Raw genomic sequence first — 25,148 nt, 5'->3', positions numbered from 1 at the left:
CAACCGTCCATCCTATGCTGTTGCTTGGCTGCTGGAGCTCTGAGCCTGGTGCCTCTCTTCATGTCACAGAAGACACCTGTTAGGGGTGGGATTATGGACCAGAGACGTTCTGCTAGAGAAGCAAGAAGGCTTGGAGGTGAGTCTATAAGAGTGAATGACTTTCTCACAATTTGATACAAGGTAATTGCTGCCCTGTCTCTTCCTAACACCCAGGTCTTCCATGTAGCAGGCCCTGTTCGCAGCTGTTTGTGAATATTAACTCATGTTATCACTGAGACCACCCTATGAGACAGGTCCTGCCACTGGTCCTGGATTTACAGAGGAGGACAGGCCCAGAGAGGTTAGCAACTTGCCCAGGGCCACAGAGCAGGTGTTGGAGAGGGGGAGCTGGATTTGAACTGGGACTGTGCTGCTCAAGGTGGCACCCCTCACATTTGACACCTAGGGCTGCACAGATAGGAAAATCAGCCCCCCATGCGTGCAGCCAGGCCTCAGCCCCCATGCTCCTGACACCGGAAGCTCCATCAGCGAGTGCTCGGCCAGCCACCAGGACTCTCTTGGTGATGCCTTTGTTACACCAGACATCTGGAGCAATGGAATACTGAATGTGAGACAGACTTGGTTATTTTCCTGTCTCTCTTCTTTCTTTCTCCTCTCTGTTTCTTTTCTTCTTCTGTGGATGAGGCAATTCTCACAGCTCTGGTTGGCCCAGTCCCTGCAACGCTGATGAACAGGGCTGAGCAAATGTGGTGGTGGTGGTGGGGGGCTCAGAGGAAGGCAGGGCTTCTCTTGGAGACTGGGCAGTGGCAGTGCCGGCACTGTGAGCGCTCACCACTCCGAGGACGTGGATGTGGACTCTACCTGGTCTCCTCTGGCCAGGTGGGGCAGGCTGAGGTGGGCTGAGACTGGAATTGGGCCTGTCCAGGGAGGGTCCCCCCCTCCCCTCCCCAGCCCAGCCACAGAGCCAGAGCTTGTGCAGGTGGGTGGCTGGCCTGGGTGTCATGGGGTGTGGCTGCAGGCACTGGCATGGGGACCGGGGCAGTCCTTCCAGGAAGAACAATTGGATTGTGGGGCAGGGGGCCCACAGGCCAGGCCAAAGTCCAGGCTCTTCAGGCTGAGGCAGGACTTCAGCCCCAGGCAGCCAATCAGGCTGCTGCAGAGAGCAGGCTGGAATGGGCCCTGGAGACTCCATGGAGCTGAAGCAGGAGACCCGGGGTGGGGGCTAGGGGCTGCGGGCTTTGGAGGCAGGGAAATAGGCAGATCTGACAAACTCAGACTTCAAAGACTGTGTCTCCTGGTGTCCCAGCTGGTTTACTATGCAGGGTGGCACTGACAAACCCAGCACCTCCCAGGGCAGGATTTTAATCCTCCCAGGGGCTGCCATCCTTGAGCACCTGCTTGGGGCCAGCCTCTGTGCCAGCCTCCCCGCAATGTGTCCACCTTACTCTCAGGTACCCCAGGGAGGCAGGCATGGTCCTCATTATCCCACTTTTTCAGATGAGGAAACTGAGGCTGGGGAGGGTCAACTGCTTTGCCAATGCCACAGCATCTGGGTGGGGGGCCAGGGCTGGAACATGAGTTTATCTGACTCCAAAGCCTATGCTCTTAATGCACAGGAGAATAGGTGTGGAAGGGTCCCTCGGCTCCTGGCCACGGCCACCCCAGTCCTGTGTCAGAGCCAATCCACGCGACTTTCTTTGCGGTGTTTCCGCCTGGTTTAACGTGATTTCTTGCTGAGCACCGTGGCTTATAGATGCTGCTTCCCTATCGTTCACAAAAAGCCTCCTCATGCCTTCCCCCCTTCCTTTTAGGAAACTCACCCCTTTTCCAGGACTGGCCAGCCGTCCAACCAGGGCCCACCCCTAACGAGAATGGAGGGGTCCCTGGGGCTTGTGAAGCCTGGCAAGGAGTTAGAAATTTATCCCACGCTGGGGTCAATGGTGGGACCGTCGGGAAACCGGCAGGCTTTAGGGAAAAGTCTCCCCCGTGCTGACTGTCGCGGCTTGGCCTTTATTCCCATGGGTGCTTTGTGCCGGGGCGGGCCCCTCCCAGCTGACCGAGGCCGGGTCTGCAGGTTCCAGCGCCCGCAGAGCTCCCGCGCGCCCCCGCGTGGCTGCAGACGGCAGCGCCGCTTCGGGAGCGGGTTTTGCAGGAGGAGGGGGCCCGAAGGGGAGGAGCAGGAGCAGGGGCAGGGGCAGGGGGCCGGTTATGGGACCGGCTCGCCGGGGGCTCTGGACCTGGGCTGCGAGGCTTATTACCAGCACCATAACAGCCAAGCAGGGGTTGGCGCTGCCGGGGACAGTGGCATGCAGCCTCTGGCCTGGGATAAGCTGGGGAGGCAGGGTCCGTCCGCGACCAGCAGAGCATCGCAGCGAGACAGCCGGCCCAGGGCCTGCGGGCAGCTCCCGGCGGCTTCCTGGAAGAGCAAGCAGCACGCGTTGGTCTGGGAGGAGAGGATGGGGCAGGCTGAGGGCAGGTCTGGTGGGACAGGTGAAGCAGCGGTGCGGCTGGACTGGGAGGGAGGGGTCGTGGGAAACAGGATGGTGGGCTGGGGGAGGGGGGGCGGCAGGCAGTGGAAGGGGGCGGCCCTACCAGGCTGCGCTGAGAAGGGCCTGTGTAGGGATTCCTGGGAGGGCACAGGTGCGGGGCAGGTGTGGACATGGGGGTGGCGTGCTGATGTCAGGCTTCAGACCCTTCTCCCAGGGCTGGGAGGGGAGGGGTGGGCACTGTCCCAGGCCTGGCTGGCAGTGTGCGGATCCCAGGAGGCAGAAGAGCTTCCCCTAGTCTTCTGCCCGCTTTTCTGGCTGGGGAAGGAGGACTCTGTAAAGTCAGGGCAAGGACTGCGTCCGTTCCACAATGTGCCTTTAACTGGCCACATGTACTTTCAACACTAGCTTCAGAGGAAAGAAATGGGCCCAAGGGACTGGGCCCAGTGGCTCATGCCTGTAATCCCAGCTTTTTGGGAGGCCAAGGCTGGAGGATCGCTTGAGGCCAGGAGTTTGAGACCAGCCTGGGCAACATAGCTTGCTTTTCTTTTTTTAAATTAAAAATTAAAAAATTAGTTGGGCATGGTGGTGCACACCTGTAGTCTCAGCTACTCAGGAGGCTGAGATGGGAGGATTGCTTGAGCCCAGGAGGTCGAGGCTGCAGTGAGCTGTGATTGCACCACTGCACTCCAGCCTGGGCAACACAGTGAGAATCTGTGTAAAAAAGAAAAGAAAAGAAAAGAAAAGAAGCTAGCCACAGAAGACAGCCTAGTTCCAAATGGACTTTACCAGGCTGTGATGAAAACTTCGGACCCCCCAGCTCTTAGCAACCTGCTCAGCCCAGCAGATGCTGCTTGTGAAAGATGATTCTGCGGGCTTCTTCCCTACTTTGTGTTCGGTGACCTCACGTTGGTAGCTTGAAATGGGCCATGGTGGGAGTATTCACGCCGCAGAAATGGGTAAGGGCCAACAGCAGGGCTTTTTGAGGGGGATCTGGAGAGCAGGTTTGCTGGGACGCCACCGTGGCTGCTCCTCTGGGGAAAAGCCGTGTGAGAATATGCAGAGTCACATGATCTTTGATTTTCTGTGCTTCAATTTCCTTGTGTGTGAGTCTGAATAATGACTTTTTCTGAGTCCCTCTCTTGGTTAATGTGGAGAACAAATGGTTGTGGACTCTAGCGCCATGGAAACCTTATCACTTCCCTGCCTAGTGCTGGAAGACTTGCTTCAGGACCCAAGCCCCTGAGCACAGAGAGGCAGGCGTTGTGGCTGAAAGTACTCGGGACCAGGACCTTAAAACTGGCATTTACACACCACCAGCCACTCTTTGGTGCCCTTGGACCAGTCAGCTAACGCCTCTGGGTTCCAGCATCCTCGTCTGCCTGAGGGGTTCGGGCTGAAGGGTCCTCTGGTCCCCTTCCGGATGTGACATTTGGCATGAATGGTCCTCCCCACCACACACATCTCCACATTCCTACTTCTCTAAACCCTAAACCCGCTCCTTTCTCTTTCATTGATTTATTTTGTAGAGACAAGGTCTCACTCTTGCCCATGGTGGAGTGCAGTGGCAGGAACAAGGCTCACTGCAGCCTCCACCTCCCGGGCTCCAGCGATCCTCCCACCTCAGTCTCCCTGCCAGTAGCTGGGATTACAGGCACGCACCACCATGCCCAGCTAATTAAAAAAAAATTTCCTACAGAGACGGGGTCTAACTATATTGCCAAGGCTGGTCTTGAACTCCTGGGCTCAAGCGATCCTCCTGCGTCGGCCTCTGGAAGTACTGGGGTTCCAGGCGGAAGCCACCGCACCTGGCCTCATTCCCCTCTTGACCCATGACAAGCTCTTGGCTTTTCCTGTCTCACCAGCCCCGCCTTCTCAGTGAGTGGTGTGGTCACCATCTCTTCTCAGTCCACTCCTTCTGGCTGGGGGCTTTCATTGAGTCCCATAGCTTGTGTTGACAAGTCTCAAATTTAAATTGCCAGACTAAACTGCATCCCTGGCTGTGGACTCATCTGCACAACCTGTGCCCAGGAACAGCTGCACGTGGCCGCGTCGCCGGCATTGAGGCTGATCACGGCCGAAACAAGTCTCGGCCCCCCCGACTCCTGTCCCCAACAGTTTAGCATGTCAGCAAGTGGCTCAGGACCCAAGCATTGGACCCATCTTTCATTTTTGCATTTTCTTCACCCTCCCACATAATCTGTCCACAAACCTCGAATGTCGTGCCTCTTAAAGGTATTTGGAATCTGTGCACATTGCAGCTTCTCCACCCCGCCACTGGAATGTCCGGCTGGGTCCTGCAGCCACCTCCAAACTGGCCACTTCCTGCTCCCGTTTCTGTCCCCGGCCCAGCAGTGGGAGCCACTCATTTAATCATCAACCTCAGACCCTGTGTAACCTCAGCTTGGGGCTCCCCGCTGTGCATCCCACAACCTCCTGCCTTGGGGCTGTGGTCAGCTCCTGTTAGAGCCTCGCTCTGTGCCAACCTGCAGGCACACTGGCCTTCTGTCTCATCCCAAACACGCCGAACCTGTCCCACCGCGGGCCTGTCCCTGGCTCTTTCCCCTGCCTGGTGTGTCTGGCTTCTTCTGGTGTGTCTGTCATTCTGGTTTTCTCCCTAAATCCACCTTCTCAGAGAGGCCATTCCAGGCCGGGCAAATGACAAGGTCGCGCCTGCCTCGTCCCTGCCTGTGGCCGTCTCTTCTTTGCCATCACAAGCATCTGAGCACTCTGTGCGTGGATTCATTTGCTTTTGTGTTCTCTGCTTTCTTGCACCTTTAAATGACAGGTCCTGGACTGTCTTGTTCGCTGCATATCCTGAGCCCAGACCAGAGCGTGGCATGGAGCTGGCTCCCGTTACATATTTTCGGGATGAATGAATGACTTTCTTCTGCTTGGCCTAGGAGGCTGTGGCTGCACAGACAGACAAGGGAGCACTGTCCTCGGAGGCTCCCGGGGAGTTCCAGGAACACAGCCCCGGAGCTCTCCTCCCAAACGCACCCCATGCGTGTCCTTGGAGGTGGGCTTCCAGAGAGTTCCAGGAACGCAGCCCCGGAGCTCTCCTCCCAAATGCACCCCACGCGTGTCCTTGGAGGTGGGCTTCCAGAGAGTTCCAGGAACGCAGCCCCAGAGCTCTCCTCCTAAATGCACCCCACGCGTGTCCTCAGAGGTGGGCTTCCAGAGAGTTCCAGGAATATAGCCCTGGTGCTCTCCTACCAAACACACCTCATGCGTGTCCTAGGAGGCTCCTGGAGAGTTCCAGGAACACAGCCCCAGAGCTCTCCTCCCAAATGCACCGCAGGTGACGGTTTCCGAGCTATCCCAGTGGAGCACAGAGATGGCAGGAAGGAGGGGAGGCAGCAGCTCTGGCCAGAGGCTGAGGGAGTTCTGGCTTTTGGGGGAGGGTGGGAATTCTGGCCACTGGTCCGGGTGGTCTGCTCTGGAAAGACCTCCTCCAAGCCCAGAGCAGAGAGGCTGGAAGGGTCAGCCTCGGGATCTCAGGGGTGATGGCCTCTCTGGGGCAGCCAGGTCAGTGGGAGTCACCTGCTTGGCGGGGCCTGGCAGCTCTGTTCTGGTTGCCTAGGACTGTAGCTGGGACATCAGGGTGGAGGGTCAGGGAGCGTGGGGCCACCCTCCCGCCTCTGCCTTCTGGGTCTCTGACCTTGAGCCATGGGGCGTTATGCGACCTCAGACAGAAGAATCACGGTCCCCAGCAGTCCCATCACGAGGAGGGGCCTGCTGCTGGGCGGGAGAGCAGATCTTCCCTTGGGCAGGAGAGTAGGCCTTCCATCAGGCGGAAGAGCAGATTCTAAGGAAAGCCAGAGGACCTGTGAGGGAGAGAGGGATGGCTCCTCACCCCAGCCTCTCCACAGTAAACTCGGGGTCCTCTGTTGGTCCCCACGAGCCCCTCCTTCCTCTTTCACCGCCCCCTTGGTCCCATGGCCTTTGTCCACCACGGCCCTTCATAGCCCTGCTCAGTAGAGCCCACCCCTCTCCAGCCAGGCCCCCGCCGGGGTCGCCACCTTGTCAGTTTCCAGGTGGCCTTTGTCCCCAAGATGGGGCAGGTTCCAGTGGGGAGGTGTGTGTGTGGGAGGCTGATACAGGAAGATTCCAGAAAGGAGGCCCTCAGGTTGCTGTGGTGGGGAGTGGGGAGTGGGGATCCAGCAGCCAGGAGGTGGGCTCTGCACAGCAGGCCCGCCTGGGCCACCCTCGCTCCCTCCAGCCCCTTCTTGAGCAAGACTGCCCACTCCTCCCCCTCGCCCTCTCGTGCCGCCCGAGATGCATGAGGTGCTCGTGAGAGGTCACGTGTTGTGGGAATGTGAGAGATTCTGGTGTTCTCCAAAGCCAGGGGAGGTGGCCCCACTTGGGGCTCAAGGGTGTCCTGGTCACAGGCATGCAGGCACCCTCGTGTGCACACGTGTACACACCAGAGCAGGCGGGGATTTGGGGCACCCTGCCCTCACCTGTGTGCAGCATGGGCAGCAGAGTAGCTAGGTGCCCATCGTTGGCCTCGGGCACGATGCCCAGCAGCCGGCACATGAGCTCGTACACGTGGACGCTCTCAAAGGGCTCCACCTCCAGGCCCGCCCTGAAGCTAGGGCCCACAGCGCGGAAGATGGTCTTCATGTCCATGTCCTTGTTGTCAAAGCCGTGCTCCCCATTGTTGAACTGGACGTTAATTCTCTGCCGGGGAGCGGGCAAGGGTCCTGGGTCCTTGCTGGGAGCAACAGACCCTCTCCGCCTACCCTATCCACCCTATGAACACCCCCTTAGGAAGGAGCACCAACGTGAGGGCTGGAGGGGTTCCAAGACTCAGTTTCCCCGAATTCTGAGCCTCCAAAGATCAGTCACCCTAAAGAGTGAAGTTCAGGGAAGGTCCAGTTAAATGAACGGAGACCAGACCCTGAGTAAATGGGAGTGGAGCGGGCAGCTCCAGGCTTCGGGGCCTGCCGCCTGTGCGGTGTTGAACGCTGCCTCCCATCGGTCACTTCCTTTCCGGGGATGTCTGCTCCCTAATCTGTGCTTCGCTTCCGGCTCAGCATCCCTGTGCTGTCTGCTGAGGGGAGGTTGGGCTCCTGACTCTTTCCTACCTCTTCCATGTCACCCTTGGGGCTGGACTTCTACACTTTACCCTGGACACGTAGGACGCACACACACACACACACACACACACACACACACACACACGCCTATCACACAGTGCCTGGTCATGATGGATACAGACGTGCACACACACTCCCACTGCCTGGTGCCTGAATGTGGAGGGCACACACAGATGTGCACACACCCTACCGCATAGTGAAGGAAGTGTCCCTTCGGTGCTGACACTCCTCAAACTGGGGACCAGCTAGAAACAGGAAGTGCCTCTATGGAGATGGAAGGAGAGGCCAGACGCAGTGGCTCACCCCTGTAATTCCAGCACTTTGGGAGGCCCAGGCAGGAGGATCGCTTCAGCCCAGGAGTTTGAGACCAGCCTGGCCAACATGCAAAACCCTGTCTCTACAAAAAAATACAAACATCAGCTGGGCACAGTGGCTCACACCTGAATCCCATAACTTTGGGAGGCTGAGGCGGGTGGATCGCCTGAGGCCAGAAGTTCGAGACCAGCCTGGCCAACATGGTGAAACTCTGTCTCCACTAAAAATACAAAAAATTAGTCAGGCATGGTGGCAGGCGCCTGTAATGCCTCAGAGGGCTGAGGCAGGAGAATCGCTTGAACCCAGGAGGTGGAGGATGCAGCGAGCCAAGATGGCACCATTACCCTCCAGCCTGGATGACAAGAGTGAAACTCTGTCTCAAATGAAACAAAACAAAACAAAACACACACAAAAATTAGCCAGGCATGGTGGTGTGCACCTGTGGTCTCAGCTACTCAGGAGGCTGAGGTGGAAGGATCGCTTGAGTCTGGGAGTTTAAGGCTGCAGTGAGCTGAGATCCTGCCATTGCACTCCAGCCTGGGCAACAGAGCAAGACCCTGGTCTCAAAAAAAAAAAAAGAAGACCCAGAGCCTGGGGAGGGAGCCCCTGGAGGTGGTGCCTCCAGCAGGCGACTCACCCCATGGATGACGTAGCCAAGGTCGCTGTACATCAGCAGGGGTGTGACCCTGGGGTTGTTGGCGTAGTGGAAGGCCTCGGGGAACGCCTCCTTCTTGTAGACGTGGAGCTTGGGGTGGGCGTCCTTGAGGGCATCGTACACCTTCTCCAGCCTCCCTTCTTTAGGGAGCAGCATCCCGTTTGGTCCGTAGTCCAGGAGCTCAAACTCGATGTCCCGGAAGGTGAAGTTGGGGAACTTGTGGAATTCAACCAGGTCGCCAGCCCGTTTGTCCACGGTCGTCATGCCGTGGTCGGATGTGATGATCAGGTTGAGGCGGTCTGTGAGGTGGTTGCGCGCGATGCTCTCCCGGAGGTAGCCCACGGTCCGGTCCACCTGCCGCACCATCTCCCTCCTCTCCGGGGACTCGGGGCCGTACCTGTGGCCCGTGGAGTCCGGCTCCCCGAAGTAGAGTGTGACCAGATCCAGGTCCTCCTCTGTGAACCACGCCATCACTGTGTCGATGTTCGCTCTCCACTCCGTCTCATTTTTGTAGTTGTGTGCGATGCCTTCTTTCCGGCTCCGCGTCACAGCCACCCCTTGGTAGGTGACGTTCCCGCCCGGGTAGAAGAAGGAGCCAGCCCTCAGGCCCTGCCAGACAAGGCAGCGTGAAAGACAGGACTCCTCAGTGGGCTGCCCCTTGTCTCATGCCTGTGAACACATTTGTCCCCCACGTGCCTACTTCTCTGTTCCACCCACCCATCCCTGCTCCTAGCTGCAGCTGCGGGGCCTTTAATTTCTAAAACATCCCTGATCTCATGTTCTATGGGGGTAAAACCTGATTTTATAGAGGAAACAACAGGTGCCCACTGGACTTGAGCACTAAACAAGACATCAGTATAAAGATGTTCCCAGAGGCCGGGCGCAGTGGGTCATGCCTGTAATCCCAGCACTTTGGGAGGCCAAGGCGGGTGGATCCCGAGGTCAGGAGATGGAGACCATCCTGGCTAGCACGGTGAAACCCTGTCTCTACTGAAAATACAAAAAAATTAGCCAGGCGTGGTGGCGGGCGCCTGTAGTCCCAGTTACTTGGGAGGCTGAGGCAGGAGAATAGTGTAAACCCGGGAGGCAGAGCTTGCAGTGAGCGGAGATGGCGCCACTGCACTCCAGCCTGGGCGACAGAGCGAGACTCCGTCTCAAAAAAAAAAAAAAAATGTTCCCAGATACGCAGTGTCTGCCTCATCACTGTCCATCCCACCTGCCCGTCCACTCCCCCAGGATATTCTTTCATTGGATCAAGAGCCTTGTGATGCCAGGGTCTCTACCTTGGCTTCCTGCTCACCAGCCGGTGGAAGGAGCCCTGAGTGTGTCTATGATCCTTCTGGAGTGAGGGAACCCCGGCTTGAGTGGATAACTTGGCTCTGGGGTGGGCATGGGCTCTGACATTTATTCCAGCGTCATCTTGGAAACCTCCACTGACTTTGTTTACTGGAAGCCTCGCCTCTGGGCCAGGAAGCCCCCAGAGCATTGCAAACTGGGGGTGGGTGGGGGGGTTCCTGGGTCAATACTGTAACCCACCTCTCATTTTGTCTTTGGCCCTTTAGAATTTAGCTGTTCAGCTGTGACAGGGATGTGGAAAGGGAGAAAGTCGTCTAATTGTTAAATGCTTTCTTGTTGAGTCACAGTGATCTTCCCTGTCCGACCCTCACCCCCAATGCTGCAGGGCCCAAGGGTGCAGTTCTCCCTCCGACTAGGGGGACAGAGCAATCCCTCTTGCTCCCAGGGCCCCCCAGAGAGGACCGGGCAGGGCTGTGTCCATGGGCCGAGCCGGACGTAGCTCACTGGTTAGTCCTCACCAGCACCCACCACCTGCCCCTTTTGGGGCCCTACTTCACACCCTTCTGTGCCAGGGTAGGCCAGGAGCCCCGAGACCCTGGAGTGGGGAAGGGACCTGCCGTGGATCTCACATGGTTCCAAGCCTCACCTGGGCCTAGGTGCCCCCGTGCTCTGCGATGTCAGTATGGGCGGGGGTGACATTACCTGCCTCTGGGCTGTGATCCAGATGGGCACGCTGCCGTTGTCCCACCACCTCTGGATGCCCAGCGTGGCGTGGTAGGGCAGCTTCACCTTGCTGGTGGTGTTGTAGTACATGTTGTGAACCACCCCGTGGTTCTCGATATATTTGCCTGAGGGAGGAAGAGGTGCAGAGGGCGGCGGGATGGACCGGGGTCACAGCGAAGGCCGGACCCAGGGCTGGAAGAGGCGAAGTCAAAACAGCCCAGGTTTCCCTGTGTGCTGGGTGGGGAGTGGGCCTGGGGCAGGGCTGGGGGGAGCAGACTTCCTCCTGCACTGCCCCGTGGGAGCCAAGGTTCGAGGTCATGTCTGAGACAAATAGACACGTGTTCTTTGACCTGTTTTAGCAATCGCACTTCCACTTTCAGTTTGTCCCACAGCTGGACGGGCACACAGGCACGAATGCGTGTGCAGGGATCCTGGTGGCAGCCTTGTTTGCTTTAGCAAAAGATTGCGGGTGACCTCCACGGCCGTCAGGAAGGAACTCATTAAATAAATGATGGCCCAGCCATCAGACGAGATCCCAGGCAGGAATTTCAGTGAACTACGTGGAGCTCCAGGAGATTTTTTGAATTTATTTTTGTACAGGAAACACGTGCACATGGTACTAAGTCCAAAAGGTGCAAAAGGAGAGATGATGTGGAGAAGGTCCCTCCCGTCCTCATCTGCGATACAGAGAGCAAAAGAGGCGCTGCGCAGACGGGAGACCCGCACACCTCCGTTTGCGGTTAGAAGGGGCAGAAAGGCTGGTGTGGGGATGAGCTGCCTGTGTTGGGGTGGATGGTGTCCCACCACATTCATGCTCACTTGGAACCTTAGAACGTGGCCTTATTTAGAAATAGGGTCTTTGCAGATGTGATTAGCTAGGGTAAGGGGATGTATACCAGAGAAGTGTGGACCCGAAATTCAGCGACTGGTGTACTAGTGAGAAGAGGAAAGTTTGAATACAGACACACACACACAGGGGAAAGGCCCTGGGGAGACGTGGGGAGAGGTCGGAGTGATGCTGCCGCCAGCCCAGGAATGCCAAGGATTGCCGAGGCCCCAGGAGCCAGAAGAGGTGAGGAGGGAGCCTCTGCTGGAACCTTCCGGGTGGGTGCAGCCCTGCAATGCCCTGGGTTTGGCCTTCTGGCCTCCAGAAGCATGCGGATCCGTTTCTGTGGGTTTAAGCCAGTCTGCAGATCTTTGTTGCAGGCGCCCTGGGACACCCACGCAGGGTCTTTGGAGGATGACGCAGGTTTGGGAGGTGGCTGAGCCCCTAGGGAGGGCCAATTGCTTTTCAATTCTCTAACACCTTTTTTGTGGTACTTGGCTTTTTATTATTTTATTATTGTTTGTTTTTTTGACACAGGGTCTTGCTCTGTCACCCAGGCTGGAGTGCAGTGGTGTGATTGCAGCTCACTGCAGCCTCTACCTCCTGGACTCCAGCAATCCTCCTGCCTTGGCCTCATATATATATATATGTGTGTGTATATATATATATATATACATATATATATGTATATATATATGTATATATATATTATATGCAGTCTTGCTTTGTCACCCAGGCTGGAGTGCAGTGGTGCGATCTCAGCTCACTGCAACTTCCACCTCCTGGGTTCATGCAATTCTCCTGTCTCAGCCTCCCAAGTAGCTGGGATTACAAGCATGCACCATCATGCCTGGCTAATGTTTGTATTTTTAGTAGAGATGGGGTTTCGCCATGTTGGCCAGGCAGGTCTCGAACTCCTGACCTCCAGTGATCCGCCCGCCTCAGCCTCTCAAAGTGCTGGGATTACAGGCGTGGGCCACTGAGCCTGGCCCCATATTTGGCTTTTTAAAAACCTATGTCTGTATTGTCTACAGCCTGGGCAGATCTGTCAGGGAGGTGTTGGGTGGAAAATGGAAAGGATGGAAGGGAGAGGGAGAGGCTGACACAGCCAGCTGGAGGGGCGGGCAGGGGAGGGGAGCCATGGGAGCCAGCGGGGAGCCCGCCACACTCCCCTCCTCCTGAAGCCTTCTGGGGTTGCTGCCCTGGCTGTGGCCACGGGTTTAAGGACCCCCCTGGTCATTTTTCTTTGTCCCGGATCTGTTGCTACCAACGGTGAGGATTCCTAATGGTCCCCTTGGCTCTGTCCTGTGCCTGGAGCAAGGACCTCTCCCCTTTATCCTGCACGACACGGCTCTGTGCCATCTGGTTTCTCAGGCCCTCCCACCCCCAGGCCCCGTCACAGGGCAGTACTCACCGGTGACCAGGGTGAAGTGGCAGGGGCTGGTCATGGTGACAAAGGCGGGGGTCATGTAGCGTGCCTTCACCCCGTCTCGGGCCATGGCGTCCAGGTTGGGGGTGTCCACGTCCTGGTCGTAGTTCCAGCGGAAGCCGTCGAAGGACACCAGGAGCAGCTTGTTCTGGGAGCCCTGACTTTGTACCGGTGCTCCGGCCCCGGGAGCCAGGAGCGTGGCCAGAGCCACAGTGAGGAGGACGGCCGGGCCTCTCATGCTGGGCCTTCCAGATGGACAGGCACACAGGGTGCACAGGGCTGGCTCCTGCCGAGGAGGACAAAGTCCCAGGGTCACCCGGGCTGATCTCATCCCGTGCGCCTTTGGAATGTGGCTGTGCACATCCCCGGGTCGAACCTCGGGAGTGGGCTCCCCAGCCGTGTCAGTGCCACCCCTGGTCCCAGCCTCACGTGCGTGGGGTGGCATCAACTTGAGCATCTGCCTTTATTGCCAGCCGCGCCCTTGGTGCTCCAGGCTCCTCCCCTCCCTCCCCAGAGTGGGGACAGTGACCCAGGGCTCAGAGCACAGCAGGAGCCCATTCCACTGGGAAAGTCGTGCCCTCTCCCTCTCCCATAGCAACAGGTGGTCCCTCTGTCCCAGCTCACCCTGACCCCAGGGGACCCAGGTGAGGCTGGGGTGGGACCCCCTCTCCAGGCCTTTAGTGGTGCATGGGCCTCAGGCCTGCCTGGGTGAGGGCCTGTGGGGTGGGCTTCCCATGGTCAGGGCCAGGACCAAGCCTGGGTCACAGCATGGCCTTGTCCGGGGGGAACCCCAGGCTGGGTGCCTGTTCTCCTCCTGGTCCTGTTAAGGGGCTCCTTGAGCGTGGTGAGCAGACCGGGAACCGGATGGCTCCAGACCAGCGTCCTGTGGGCCTTCCTTCTTGGGATGCTTCCTTCTTGGGATGCTTCCTTCTTGGGAATTTCAGAGGGTGCCTGGGGCTCGGACGTTCTTGCTTGATGACAACAAGGGGTCAGAAGAGGGGGACTCCCTTGTTACCATAGGCACATGAAGGGTGGGAGAGGAACCCCTGGATTCAGTGTGCGGTTCTCCCTCCCTCTCCCCCATCTCTCCTTCCCCTTCTCTTATTTTCTCTCTCTTTCTCTGTCTCTCTCCCTCTTTCCTTCCCTGTATGTCTCTGTCTCAGTTCCTATTAAGCACGTTCTGTGTGCCAGGCATGGTTCTAGGTTCTGGGGACACAGAAGTGAATGAGACAGACAATGTTCCTCGTGGCCTCCATTCGAGTTGGGGACACAGAAGATAAAATGAACAAACAAGAAAAAAAGAGTTTCCCAAAAGAAGGGAAGGCAGGAAGACGTGATGGAGAGGCTGGCGGGGTGGGTGGGCGGCACGCAGTGGTGGCTGGTGGGGTTTCGCTGAGAGGATGGTGGAGGCCAGTGACTCTGGGGGACCATGAGCTAGGGGAGCGGGCATGGGGCAGGTGGCAGGGGTGGCAGGGCCAGTCCCGTAGGGCAGGTGGCGGTGATTCTCATGCCAGGCAGTGGAAGCCAGGCGGGGGTTTTAAGCAAGAGAGTGACATGAACTGATCTAATGCTAAAATATACTCTCCATTTGTGGGTGAAGGATAGACCAGAACGAGGGCAGAATGGACACTGGGTGCTCCCTGGAGAGGTGACTGCCTGTGTCTGAGCAAGAGCTATTGGTGGCCCGGACCAGGGTGGTGGCTGTGGGATGGGGCTGGGTTTGAGGCGGATCCTGGAGGTTTTGCTGGGAGGTGGTGCGCTGGATTGCATGGTGGGAGGTGGTGCACTGGATTGCGCGGTGGGAAGACGGAAGGGCATGGTTGGAGGTATTGTCACAATTTCAATCTGGAGCCACACACCTGCCGACAGTGGCCCCGGCCTTCCTTAAGACCTTTGGCTGGCTGCAGCAAGCAGACGCCGTCTCGAAGCGATGGCCGTGGCACTCAGATGACACCGCAGACGCCGTCCACAGCCTCCCCAGGCCAGCCAGCCTTTCCTAACCCAGGTGGGCAGGGACCACTGGTACGGATCCCCGGCTGCCCCTGCCTGGCCGACTGGAACACACTCTCAAGGAGGACTCCGTGCCAGTGACCCCTCTTCTTCATGCTTCTGTGCACCAAAAGCTGAAAACCAGGATGGAGCGACTGCCCGGTGCCTGCAACCACCGCGTGGGGTGCCTGCTCTGCAGGGCTGGGGCTCAGGGCACCCAGAGGTTTGGCTCCTCCCTGGGGAGCACAGACCTTGGGGAGGGTAAGGATCCCTGTGAGTCAGGGACACAGGTTACGATGCACGCACAGGGGGAATGCAGGCGGCCTCGGGAGAGGAGATCGGGCTTTGCTGGCACCAGCGTTGTGGGAGGCCCACAGGATGCATGGAGCCAGGAGAGAGGGCGGGAAGGCTTCAGGCAGAGGGACCAGGCATGGAGGAAGGGAGGCACCGGGGCTCCCGAGAGGGTCGACCAGGAGGAGCCTGTAGGCCGTGGCGGAATCTGGATTTTCCGCTGTGGCAGAGCTGGTTAGTTGTCCCCTAATATCTGTTCTCCCCTCTTTCCATGATAAGATGGCTGCTAGAAGAAAGACTACATTTCCCAGCATTCCTTGCAGCAAAGCAGGGCCACGTGACCACATTTTGACCAATGGGGCAAAAGGAGAATGTCTTGTAGCAGTCCCAGCCTCTTGCCGGAAGCTAGCTTTGCTTCTCTTCTTTTTTGATTTTTTCCTCCATCTGATGCCTCTGGCTGGCAAGCCACCCTAAGCCGCCTGATGAGGGGCTCCCCGGGGATGGCCGGGGTGCACAGAAGGGGCCTGGTCCCCAGCGTCCTGTGTAGCTCAGCTCCAGGCTGCATCCTCCCGGGGAGAATTCAACACACTCTGCCTCGTTGCAATTTCCATTATTTGGGTTTCCTGTCACTCTCAGCGGGACCTAGTTCAAGCTGATAATAGAATTCCAGGCCTGGGGGGCATTGCTAGGTTTAAGCAGGAGCTGGCTGTGGGGTGGGGCTCGAGAGGGCCGCCAGGGAGGCAGGGCCTGAGTGAGGAGCCGAGGCAGTGGTCCAGGGGCCTGGCCAGGCCTCGGCTGGAGTGCATTTGGGGTGTGCTTGAGGCCGGCGCAGATCTTGGTGGCTCGCAGGTCTGGGGTCCGTGGTTCTGCAGGTTCTCCTGTCGGCCCCTGGGGTTGTGCGAATTCCTGGTCCTGTTCACCCTCTTACCTGCCTGGGCCTGGTCTGGAGATGGCATGAAAGGTCTGCTCCTGCTCCTCTCAGGACATCCCAGCCATGCTTGGGTAACTCTTCCTTTGGTTTTTGGCTCTGTACCTCAATCCCGCTTTGCTGGGGAGCTCCTTGGGTCACCCCACGTATGTTTCCATTTTCTCTGCGATCTCATAGAGCACTTGGATGGAAAGGGTGTGCGGTGGTTGATTGTAGCTCGTGGCTACAGGACATTTCCTTCAGTCCGTGGGCACTGGGCAATAGCCACGATCTCACTGAAGCTTGGAGGTAGTTCTTGAGGTAGGACTTAGTACAATCCTCAGTTTACAGGTTGGAAACTGAGGCAGAGAGCGGTTAAAATCACTTGGTGACTGGAGGAGCTGAGCTGGAACCCAAGCGTTCTGGCTTCCGAGCCCCAGTGTTCAGCTTCAGCTGCTTCAAAAGGCAGCAATTTACCAGCCTTTGTTCACTTGGGATTCTATTGTCAGGCTTTGGGTCTATTGACAACATTTTATTTAAAAAATGGTGTAGTCCAGCCTGGCCAACGTGCTGAAAACACATCTCTACTAAAAATACAAAAATTAGCTGGGCATGGTGGTGCGCACCTGTAATCCCAGCTACTTGGGAGGCTGAGGCATGGGAATTGCTCGAACCTGGGAGGAGGAGATTGCAGTGAGGCAAGATCACACTACTGCACTCTAGCCTGGGCAACAGAGCGAGACTCTGTCTCAAAAAACAGAACAAAACAAACAAACAAAAATAATGCAGCTGTGAGTATCTTGACACCACTGACTTTTTCCTTTTCTTTCTTTCTTTTTTAACCTTTGCCTTCTTTCCTTGGGGTACAGTGCTTAGAGAAAGGTTATTGGACAAAGGATGGAAAAGCTACTTGGCTGTTATGATCAGATGGCTATCAGGTGACAGACCCTCTTCTCGACCTAACTCTACTCCACTAAGCCTTCAAGGCGCTGACCTTGGGCTCTGTCCTCGGCTTCTTTAGTTCGGGTTTAGCAAGAGTCCTGCTGAGTCAGTTTAGTGGAAATCCTATGTGATCACCCTCAGTATTTGATCAGATTCCTCATCCTCCACTCTCGATATCTTGTTACCCTGGCCTGCTTTCAGGAAGATTTCTGCTGAGTTGGCCGAGTAAGCATCCCGTCTCCTCAATGTCTCCTCTTAGTCATTTTCCACCCACCCGGCACACTTGCTCCTGGACTGCATGTCCTACTCGTCCTTGGTAGAGTGAGACTGAGCCCAATCTGGCTCTCCTACAGCTAAACCCCATTGTGGTAGCCCCCCTGGAATAAGGTCTTCCTACCTGTCTTTAACAAGAGTCATGAATACTTTTTTTCTTTATTTTAAAAATTATTATTGTTATTATTTTTTGAGACGGAGTCTCACTCTTTTGCCCAGGCTGGAGTGCAGTGGCATGATCTCAGCTCACTGACACCACGCCTGGCTAACTCTTGTATTTTTAGTAGAGACAGGGTTTCACCATCTTGACCAGGCTGGTCTTGAACTCCTGACCTCATGATCCACCCACCTCGGCCTTCCAAAGTGCTAGGATTACAGGCATGAGCCACCGCACCCGGCCATATGATTATTATTTTTAATAGAGATGGGGTCTTGCTATGTTGCTCAGGCTGGTCTTGAACTCCTGGACTCAAGCGATCCTCCCACTTCAGCCTCCCACAGTGTTGGGATTACAGGTGCGAGCCATGACTCCCGGCCAAATGTTTTTTCTTTAACACAGGAAAGGTTGAAGCAGTTGATAGCACCAGCAGCCACGAGTTAATGTAAATATCCCCTCTGCCCCACCCCGTGCTACCTTTATTGGGTTTTATCTTTTTATTCCTTTTCGATAGTGTCATAGGCGTGTAAAGATATCTTAAAGTATCAAGCCAGAGAAACTGGGAGATTTTCCATGTCATGATTTCTTGTCTCTAACTCCCCATGTGAGGACTTTTATTATCCTCGACCACTGATTAAGTGGGTTCTTCAGCACTGAATTTTGTGTGTGTGTGTGTGTGTGAGACAGGGTCTCGCTCTGTCGCCTAGGCTGGAGTGGAGTGGCATGATCACGGCTTGCTGTAGCCTCTATCTCCCGGGCTGAAGTGATTCTCCTACTTCAGCCTCCCGCATAGCTGGGACTACAGGCGCACACCACCACACCTGGTTAATTTCTTTTTTTCTTTTTTTTTTTTTTGAGACGGAGTCTTGCTCTGTCGCTCAGGCTGGAGTGCAGTGGTGCGATCTCGGCTCACTGCAAGCTCAGCCTCCCGGGTTCACACCATTCTCCTGCCTCAGCCTCCAGAGTAGCTGGGACTACAGGCGCCTGCCACCATGCCCAGCTAATTTTTTTGTGTGTGTTTTCAGTAGAGACGGGGTTTCACCGTGTTAGCCAGGATGGTCTCGATCTCCTGACCTCTTGATCCTCCCGTTTTGGCCTTGCAAAGTGCTGGGATTGCAGGTGTGAGCCACCGCACCCGGCCAATTTTTAAATTTTCAGTAGAGACAGGGTCTCCTTATGTTGCCCAGGCCGGTCTTGAACTCCTGGGCTCAAGTGATCCTCCCACCTCGGCCTCCCAAAGTGCTGGGATTACAAACATGAGCCACTGTGTGCAGCCCAGCGTTAACTCTTATGGTTTAATTGGTTCCTTATGTATGTTGCAATGCATATTTTTTCCTTTTTTTTCTTTCTTATTTATTTATTGAAAAACAGAGACGGGGTCTCTCTATATTGTCCAGGCTGGTCTTGAACTCCTGGGCTCAAGTGATCCTCCCACCTTGGCCTCCCAAAGTGCTGGGAATACAGGTGTGAGCCTGGCTACAATGCATATTCTTTTGAATCTATACTTTTGGAATATATTTTTTTTGATAAACATTTGTCCTTTATATCTGTCAGCTGAAATTTCCCCCATCCACTTCATGCTGAGCATGTGGAGTCTGGCCACAATGCACATTCTTCTGAATTTATACTTTTGGAATATATATATATATATTTTTTTTTTAGACAGAGTTTCCCTCTTGTTGCCCAGGCCCCAGGCTGGATCGCAGTTCACTGTAACCTCCGCCTCCCAGTTTCAAGCGATTCTCCTGCCTCAGCCTCCCAAGTAGCTGGGACTGTAGGCTTGTGCCGCCACGCCCGGCTAATTTTTGGATTTTTAGTAGAGGCGGGGTTTCACCATGTTGGCTAGGCTGGTCTCTAACTCCTGACCTCAGATGATCCACCCTCCTCCGTCTTCCAAAGTGCTGGGATTCTAGGCGTGAGCCACTGTGCCAGGCCTAGATTATATTTTTTGGGTAAACATTTGTCCTTTATATCTGTCACCTGAAATTTCCCCATACTCTTCATGCAAGCCTTCAGGTAGACGGTGAGGTCAGGCTCTCTGAAGCAGGGGCCTGCCATATTAGCTCATCATGGTATCACCAGAGCCTGGGAGAGTGTCCAGCACAGCATAGGTGCTTAATGCATCTTTGTTGCATGAGTAAATAAATTAAGAGGACAAATGCATGCAAATATCTAACATACTTTCTGTTTTGACAGAACTTTTTATTTTACGACAGTTTTAGGTTTGCAGAAAAATTGCGAAGACAATATAGAGTTCCCACGTTCCTTGCACCCAGTTTCCCCTGTTATTAATGTTGACTATTAGGGTGGTACTTTACACAATTAAGGAGCCAGCATTGATAAGTTATTATTATTATTATTTATATTTTCGAGACAGAATTTCACTCGTTGCCCAGGCTTGAGTGCAATGGTGCAATATCCACTCACTGCAACGTCTGCCTCCAGGGTTCAAGTGATTCTCCTGCCTCAGCCTCCCAAGTAGCTGGGATTACAGGTGTGCGCCACCACGCCCGGCTAATTTGTTTTTATTTTTAGTAGAGATGGGGTTTCGCCATGTTGCCCAGGGTGGTCTTGAATTCCTGACCTCAGGTGATCCACCCGTCTCAGCCTCCTAAAGTGCTGGGATTACAGGCATGAGCCACCATGCCCAACTGATAAGTTATTATTATTTGAAACAGGGTCTTGCTCTGTTGTCCAGCCTGGAGTGCGGTGGCACAATCTCTGCTCGCTGCAGCCTCAACCTCTTGGACAACGAATGCATGGTATTCGGTCCTTGGGTCTCCTCAGACTCCTCTTGGCTGTGACAATTTCTCAGCTGTTCCTTGTTTTTGATGACATTGACAGTTTTGAGGAGGGCTGGTCAGGTGTTTTGTAGAATGTCCCTCAATTAGGATTTATCTGATGTTTTCCTTATCGCCAGGCTGGGGTTATGGTTTTTGGGGAGGAGGTTTGCAGAGATAAAGAGCTGTTCCTGCCTGGCCGGGCGCAGTGACTCGCGCCTGTAATTCCAGCACTTTGGGAGGCTGTGGAGGGTGGATCACCTGAGGTCAGGAGTTCGAGAACAGCCTGGCCAACATGGTGAAACCCCGTCTCTACTAAAAATACAAAAATTAGCCGGGCATGGTGGCATGCAGCTATTTGGGAGTCTGAGGCAGGAGAATCGCTTGAACCCAGGAGGTGGAGATTGCAGTGACCCGAGATCACGCCATTGCACTCCAGCCTGGGCAGCGAGTGAAATTCCATCTCAAAAAAAACAAAAAACAAAAAACAAAAAGCAACCAAACAGGAGGCGTTCCCACCAGGTCACATCAAGGCACACGCTATCAACAGGGCTTATCACTGGTGACGTGGCCTGGGTCACGCAGCCGAGGAAAGTCACGGGTGTCTCCCTGGAGGTTGCTGTCTTTCCTGCCCTCCACCCCCTTCATACCCTGTTCTTTGGAAGGAAGGCCATGCATGCCACTCACGCTCACGGGGTGAGGGGTCACGCTTCTGGACAATGGAGTGGCTGCATAGACTACTTGGAATTCTGTGTGGGGGTTTGCCCCCCATCCCATTTATTTATTCATTCAGTGACTCGTTTATGTCAGTATGGACTGATAACTATTTTATACTTTGAGTGGTAATCCTGTATTTCTCTATTTTGCAGCTCCAATTGTTCCACTTTTGGCTGCTGGGCAGTCTTTCAGATGGCTCCTAATCTGTTTCACGTTTCCCTGCAGTGTGTGCAAATGTGTGTGTGTACGAGTGCGCGTGTCTGTGTGCAAGTGTGTGTGTGTATGCATGTATGTTTGTGCATGTGCGTGCATGCATGCATGCGCGTATGCATATATGTGTGTGAATGCGCGTGTGTATGTTTCTGTGTGCAAGTGGGTGTGTGCACGTGTGTGCATGTGTGCAAGTGTGTGTACATGTGTGCATGTGTGGATGTATGTGTTTTGAGCACTATAAGATGCTCCAGGCTTATCTTATATATTTCCTCTGCCCTAGAATCCAGCATTTCTCAAGGAGCCCTGGCTTGTTTTATTGGAGATGTTATTAGAGATCAAGATCTGGGAGGTGTGTGGGCTCCTTGTTACCTGGGTGGGGGGCAAAGCATTCGTAAAGTCGTCATTCCAGTGTCCTTGAAGCTGAGGACTCCTCACCTAAGGCAGATGGATGTGAGCTTAGAGAGGTAGGGCTGATGGCCACTGTGGGTGCAGTGGTTATGGGCAAACCAGTGTCTGTAGGGGAGAGGGCTCCTCCTTATGGACACATAGGAAAGTGTTTATTCACTGCTTTTCTTGCTTAGGGGGCTCTGGGTGCCCAGCAGGACTTGATCCCAGAGGCCTCCTTGTCCTTGGGACCGGGTGGATTTGACGCTTGCACGGGTAGAGATTGCCCCATGCAGATGAGCCATGTAGGGGGCTCGGGCCCTAGGGACCCAGCCTCTGGGCCAGGGGCTGGCCTGCCCAGGCCTGCTGGTGTCTCAGCTGGTGGCCGAGGGCCATAAGGCAGGCATTGTCCTCCACAAGGTCAGCTTTGCCGCTAACTTCCTGTTCTCATTAATAACCTGATACAAGGAATTCTATTGCAATTGTTTATGTGTCTCTCCTACAAGGCTGTGAGCAGCACTGTATCCCGAGCTCCTGGTCTGATGCCTGGCACACAGTAGGTGTTTAATAAATGATTCTTCAGTGCATAAATGAAAGAGAACGTGGGTGAAGTTAGCATGGTCAGGACCATTGCAACTGCCTTCTGACCGGTCTCCTTGCTTCTCCTTAGTCTCCAGGCAGCAGTTGGAGTGATACAGTAATGGGAATCACTCTCTTCCGTCTCTGGCCAGGGTGCAGCCCCAGACTGGTGCTTCCAGGGAGCCCTCGATGCCCTGGTGAGGGGGGTGGGCTTGGAAGCTGGGCACTTACACCTGTGGGTCGTCGCCAGTGTTGGAGTAGCGGAGGCATCGAGTCCCCTCCCCTAATTTTCCACCATGTCTAATGGTACAATATTGGGTCTCAATGGGTCTCTCCTGCCTCCAGTCCAGTGCCCTTTTGTGGGGACCATTACTGGCTTTTGGGGACCCTGAAGGAGGAATGGCCTGGTTATGCAATTTGGCTGGAGTGGAACGTCCCCGTGAGGACATGACAATGAGTCCTCCCCAGCAGGCAGATGCCAATTGCAGTGGTGACCACACTTGCCGTCTGGGAGGATTCCAGGTGAGTCCCTGGTGTGGGGGCTGGGGTGGGCTCTCCATCCTCCTATCCCTGGGACAAGTGTGTGGGGGACAGCGGGGGCCACCAGGAGCCACAGGAGACAGGCCCAGGCTCACCAGCTCTACTCTGGGACCGGCTGGGCCCCAGGAGGGCTGTGATCTTTCATGGCTATGATGTTAGGAGAGAGACAAGGACCAAGGATGGTGATTCCTTCCCAAAGGGCCACGGTCGTCCAGTGAGGCCGAGCAGGGAGGAGCTGAGAAAGGCAGCCTCCCTCCTTTCTCCCTCTGTCCACCATCAGCATCAGCTCTGTTGCCCAAGGGGGTCGTCCTCTGCAGGGGCTGGGGCTTGTAAGCAATGCCCCCCGCCCCCACCTGGCAGTGGTTACTCTCCGATTCCTGGGGCCTGCCCGACCTTCACTGCAGCAGGGTTTTATGAGCGGCCTCACCACTTTATCAATTGCTGTTGCCTTTTATTACTTCTCAGGGGCTTTATCTCAGCGGCTGCCTTGCCTCCCGGCTAAATGAGGATTAATTTTTTAACAGGATTATGTGCTGTGGGTTAGCTGTACTCTCTGGGGACGGCCAGGCGCTCCCCTCCCTCTTAGCCCCTCCCTCCCCCCAGGCCTCCCTCGCTGGTTTGCTGGGAGCAGGGGCTCCACGTGGGGACCCCAGGAGCTGGGGGCTGCATCATTCCAGACTCTGGGATGGGGGTGGGGTGTCGAGGGCCGGAACTGGACTCTGGGTGGTGGAGACATCCTTGGGCAGGGCCTGCCCTGCGGGGTGAAGTTCCTTTAGAGGTTTCGGCCACTTCTTGAAGGACGCCAAACTTGGCCACTGAGGAGCTGGGAGTGGGGAGACATGGAGCAGGAGCAGGAGCAGGGGGACATGGGGAGAGAAGGATGGGGGCCACCTTGCCAAGCCCGCCTGCCCCAGTATCTCAGAGCAGCACAGCCTGAACATGGCCAGCATCAGACTTTCTTGGTCCTTGTCCTGGAACACAATTTCAATTTTCCACCAAAGTTTGATAAAGGTGAGCCTGTTCTCACCCCTCCTGTGTCTATCGCCTGGAGGACAAAACCCAGGATCCCACCTCCAGCTCTCTGTGCCACCATCTCCTTCACAAACCAGAGGGAGGCCTCCTTCTTTGCCCATCAGGAAAGCCTCTGCGTCAGTCCAGGATGGGCCTCCAGACACCAGTCTAGGGGGCTTCTCCCTGTTGCCCCAGGCAGAGCTGAGGCCCTTGTGGCTTTCCCTTGTGATTCTTCTGTTGGGCCTCCTGTCCCCTCTGGAGTTATGAATTTGTGGGTGTGCTTACCCACCCACTGTGGGCCCCTGAAAGGGACACATTGATACTGCATTCATATCTAGGCGCGTGGGAGGTGCCAGGCCTGTTTACTGAAGGAGTGATGAATGGATGGATGAATGAATGAATGAATGAATGAATGAAGGGATGAATGCATGAGGGAGAAAGGGAGGGGGTCATTGGCTCCCTGCAGGGGCCCAGGGCTGAGTTGTTCACAGCTCCCTCTTCCCTCGGCTGAGCCCAGGACAGGCTGGCAGCTGTAGGCCTGGGATGTTTGAGCAGCAGCCTCGTGGGCAGCTGGGTTGATGGGGTGAGGTCCTGGCCAGAGGGGAAACTGTCCCTCTTTGGGTCTGGCTTCTGCTCCGGAGTTCCTGCTTTGCAGGTGTGTGCAGACCTGGCTTAGCTGATGTAATGAATGACCACATGCTGAGTGGCTTCAAGCAGCAGTCATGCATTCTGGTGTCCTGGGCGTCCTTGGCTTGTGGCTGCATCCCTCCTGCTTAGCCACCATCCTCACGAGGCCTTCTCTGTGTCTGTCTGTATGACTCCTATAAGGACACCAGCCCTTGGATGTTGGGCCTGCCTGAATAATCCAGGATGACCTCATCTCCTCATCCTTCACTTAATTCCATCTGCAAAGGCCCTCCATCCAAAAAAGGCCATATTCACACATTCTGGGAATTAGGACAGGGTCATATCATTTTGGGGGACCACGCTTCAACCTATAAAATACCCATATGCTTGACGACCCACCTTCCTCCTCTCTGGAAGCCTGTGTGCTCACACCTAGAATTTCCAGGTGTGAGTCTATGCCCATCTGTGACCGTCCTGTGTCCTGTTTTTTTTTTTTTTTTTGAGATGGAGTCTTGCCCAGGCTGGAGTGCAGTGGCGTGATCTCGGCTCACTGCCAGCTCCACCTCCTGGGTTCATGCCATTCTCCTGCCTCAGCCTCCTGAGTAGCTGGCACTACGGATGCCTGCCACCATGCCTGGCTAATGTTTTATATTTTTAGTAGAGATGGGGCTTCACCGTGTTAGCCAGGATGGTCTCGATCTCCTGACCTCGTGATCCACTGTCTCAGCCTCCCAAAGCGCTGGGATTACAGGCGTGAGCCACCACGCCCGGCCTGTCCTGTGTTTTTTTTACATTTATTTTTTGAGACAGGATCTCGCTCTGTCACCCAGGCTGGAGTACAGTGGTGAGATCACGGCTCACTGTGTAGCCTCGACCTCCTGGGCTCAAGCCATCCTCCCATCTCAG

The 25,148-nt window shown here is 55.5% G+C and overlaps 1 protein-coding gene across 3 annotated transcripts, besides 8 other annotated features; it reads right to left on the bottom strand.

Moving 5' to 3' along the window:
* ENPP7 (ectonucleotide pyrophosphatase/phosphodiesterase 7) lies at positions 1,991-13,267 on the bottom strand. Of its 3 annotated transcripts, NM_178543.5 has the most exons (6): positions 12,818-13,267; positions 10,557-10,702; positions 8,541-9,167; positions 6,950-7,169; positions 6,148-6,294; positions 1,991-2,416 (listed from the first exon to the last, which is right to left on the bottom strand). In NM_178543.5, exons 1-5 carry the CDS (start codon positions 13,068-13,070, stop codon positions 6,164-6,166), a joined length of 1,377 nt encoding a protein of 458 aa, NP_848638.3. In that variant the 5' UTR covers positions 13,071-13,267; the 3' UTR covers positions 1,991-2,416; positions 6,148-6,163. The 3 variants fall into 3 exon arrangements, 2 of the variants coding, with proteins under 2 accessions (NP_848638.3, XP_011523039.2); XR_001752505.2 differs by lacking the exon at positions 6,950-7,169; XM_011524737.2 differs by lacking the exon at positions 6,950-7,169 and having other exon boundaries at positions 6,148-6,313.
* Positions 2,078-2,247: a silencer, noted in NCBI's record as "silent region_9081". NCBI's record gives its function as "represses an Ori minimal core promoter by ATAC-STARR-seq in GM12878 lymphoblastoid cells {active_cell/tissue: GM12878}" and the evidence as "EXISTENCE:reporter gene assay evidence [ECO:0000049][PMID:35858748]".
* Positions 11,129-11,248: an enhancer, noted in NCBI's record as "active region_12920". NCBI's record gives its function as "activates an Ori minimal core promoter by ATAC-STARR-seq in GM12878 lymphoblastoid cells {active_cell/tissue: GM12878}" and the evidence as "EXISTENCE:reporter gene assay evidence [ECO:0000049][PMID:35858748]".
* Positions 11,299-11,348: an enhancer, noted in NCBI's record as "active region_12919". NCBI's record gives its function as "activates an Ori minimal core promoter by ATAC-STARR-seq in GM12878 lymphoblastoid cells {active_cell/tissue: GM12878}" and the evidence as "EXISTENCE:reporter gene assay evidence [ECO:0000049][PMID:35858748]".
* Positions 14,468-15,427: an enhancer, noted in NCBI's record as "H3K4me1 hESC enhancer chr17:77702545-77703504 (GRCh37/hg19 assembly coordinates)". NCBI's record gives its function as "activates a minimal SCP1, AML or CMV promoter by ChIP-STARR-seq in primed H9 embryonic stem cells {active_cell/tissue: H9 hESC(primed)}" and the evidence as "EXISTENCE:reporter gene assay evidence [ECO:0000049][PMID:30033119]".
* Positions 14,468-16,388: a biological region, named in NCBI's record as "H3K4me1 hESC enhancers GRCh37_chr17:77701584-77702544 and GRCh37_chr17:77702545-77703504".
* Positions 15,309-15,603: an enhancer, noted in NCBI's record as "tiled region #9091; HepG2 Activating DNase unmatched - State 4:PromP, and K562 Activating DNase unmatched - State 5:Enh". NCBI's record gives its function as "activates a minimal TATA promoter and a strong SV40 promoter by Sharpr-MPRA in HepG2 and K562 cells {active_cell/tissue: HepG2 | K562}" and the evidence as "EXISTENCE:reporter gene assay evidence [ECO:0000049][PMID:27701403]".
* Positions 15,428-16,388: an enhancer, noted in NCBI's record as "H3K4me1 hESC enhancer chr17:77701584-77702544 (GRCh37/hg19 assembly coordinates)". NCBI's record gives its function as "activates a minimal SCP1, AML or CMV promoter by ChIP-STARR-seq in primed H9 embryonic stem cells {active_cell/tissue: H9 hESC(primed)}" and the evidence as "EXISTENCE:reporter gene assay evidence [ECO:0000049][PMID:30033119]".
* Positions 15,510-15,629: an enhancer, noted in NCBI's record as "active region_12918". NCBI's record gives its function as "activates an Ori minimal core promoter by ATAC-STARR-seq in GM12878 lymphoblastoid cells {active_cell/tissue: GM12878}" and the evidence as "EXISTENCE:reporter gene assay evidence [ECO:0000049][PMID:35858748]".

This window comes from Homo sapiens, chromosome 17 (genome assembly GCF_000001405.40).
Source record: "Homo sapiens chromosome 17, GRCh38.p14 Primary Assembly".
Lineage (NCBI taxonomy): Eukaryota > Metazoa > Chordata > Mammalia > Primates > Hominidae > Homo > Homo sapiens.
The sequence above is the reverse complement of the archived record's forward strand: the minus strand, read 5'-3'. Positions and strand labels throughout refer to the sequence as shown.

Bases quoted from the DNA above. Each gene is read 5' to 3' on its own strand.
- ENPP7 (NM_178543.5), bottom strand. From the start codon at position 13,070: ATGAGAGGCCCGGCCGTCCTCCTCACTGTGGCTCTGGCCACGCTCCTG. The intron at 10,703-12,817 runs GTGAGTACTGCC...TTCCTCCCTCAG, and splicing joins CCACTTCACCCTGGTCACCG to GCAAATATATCGAGAACCAC. The intron at 7,170-8,540 runs GTGAGTCGCCTG...GCTCCCCGGCAG, and splicing joins TTGGCTACGTCATCCATGGG to AGAATTAACGTCCAGTTCAA.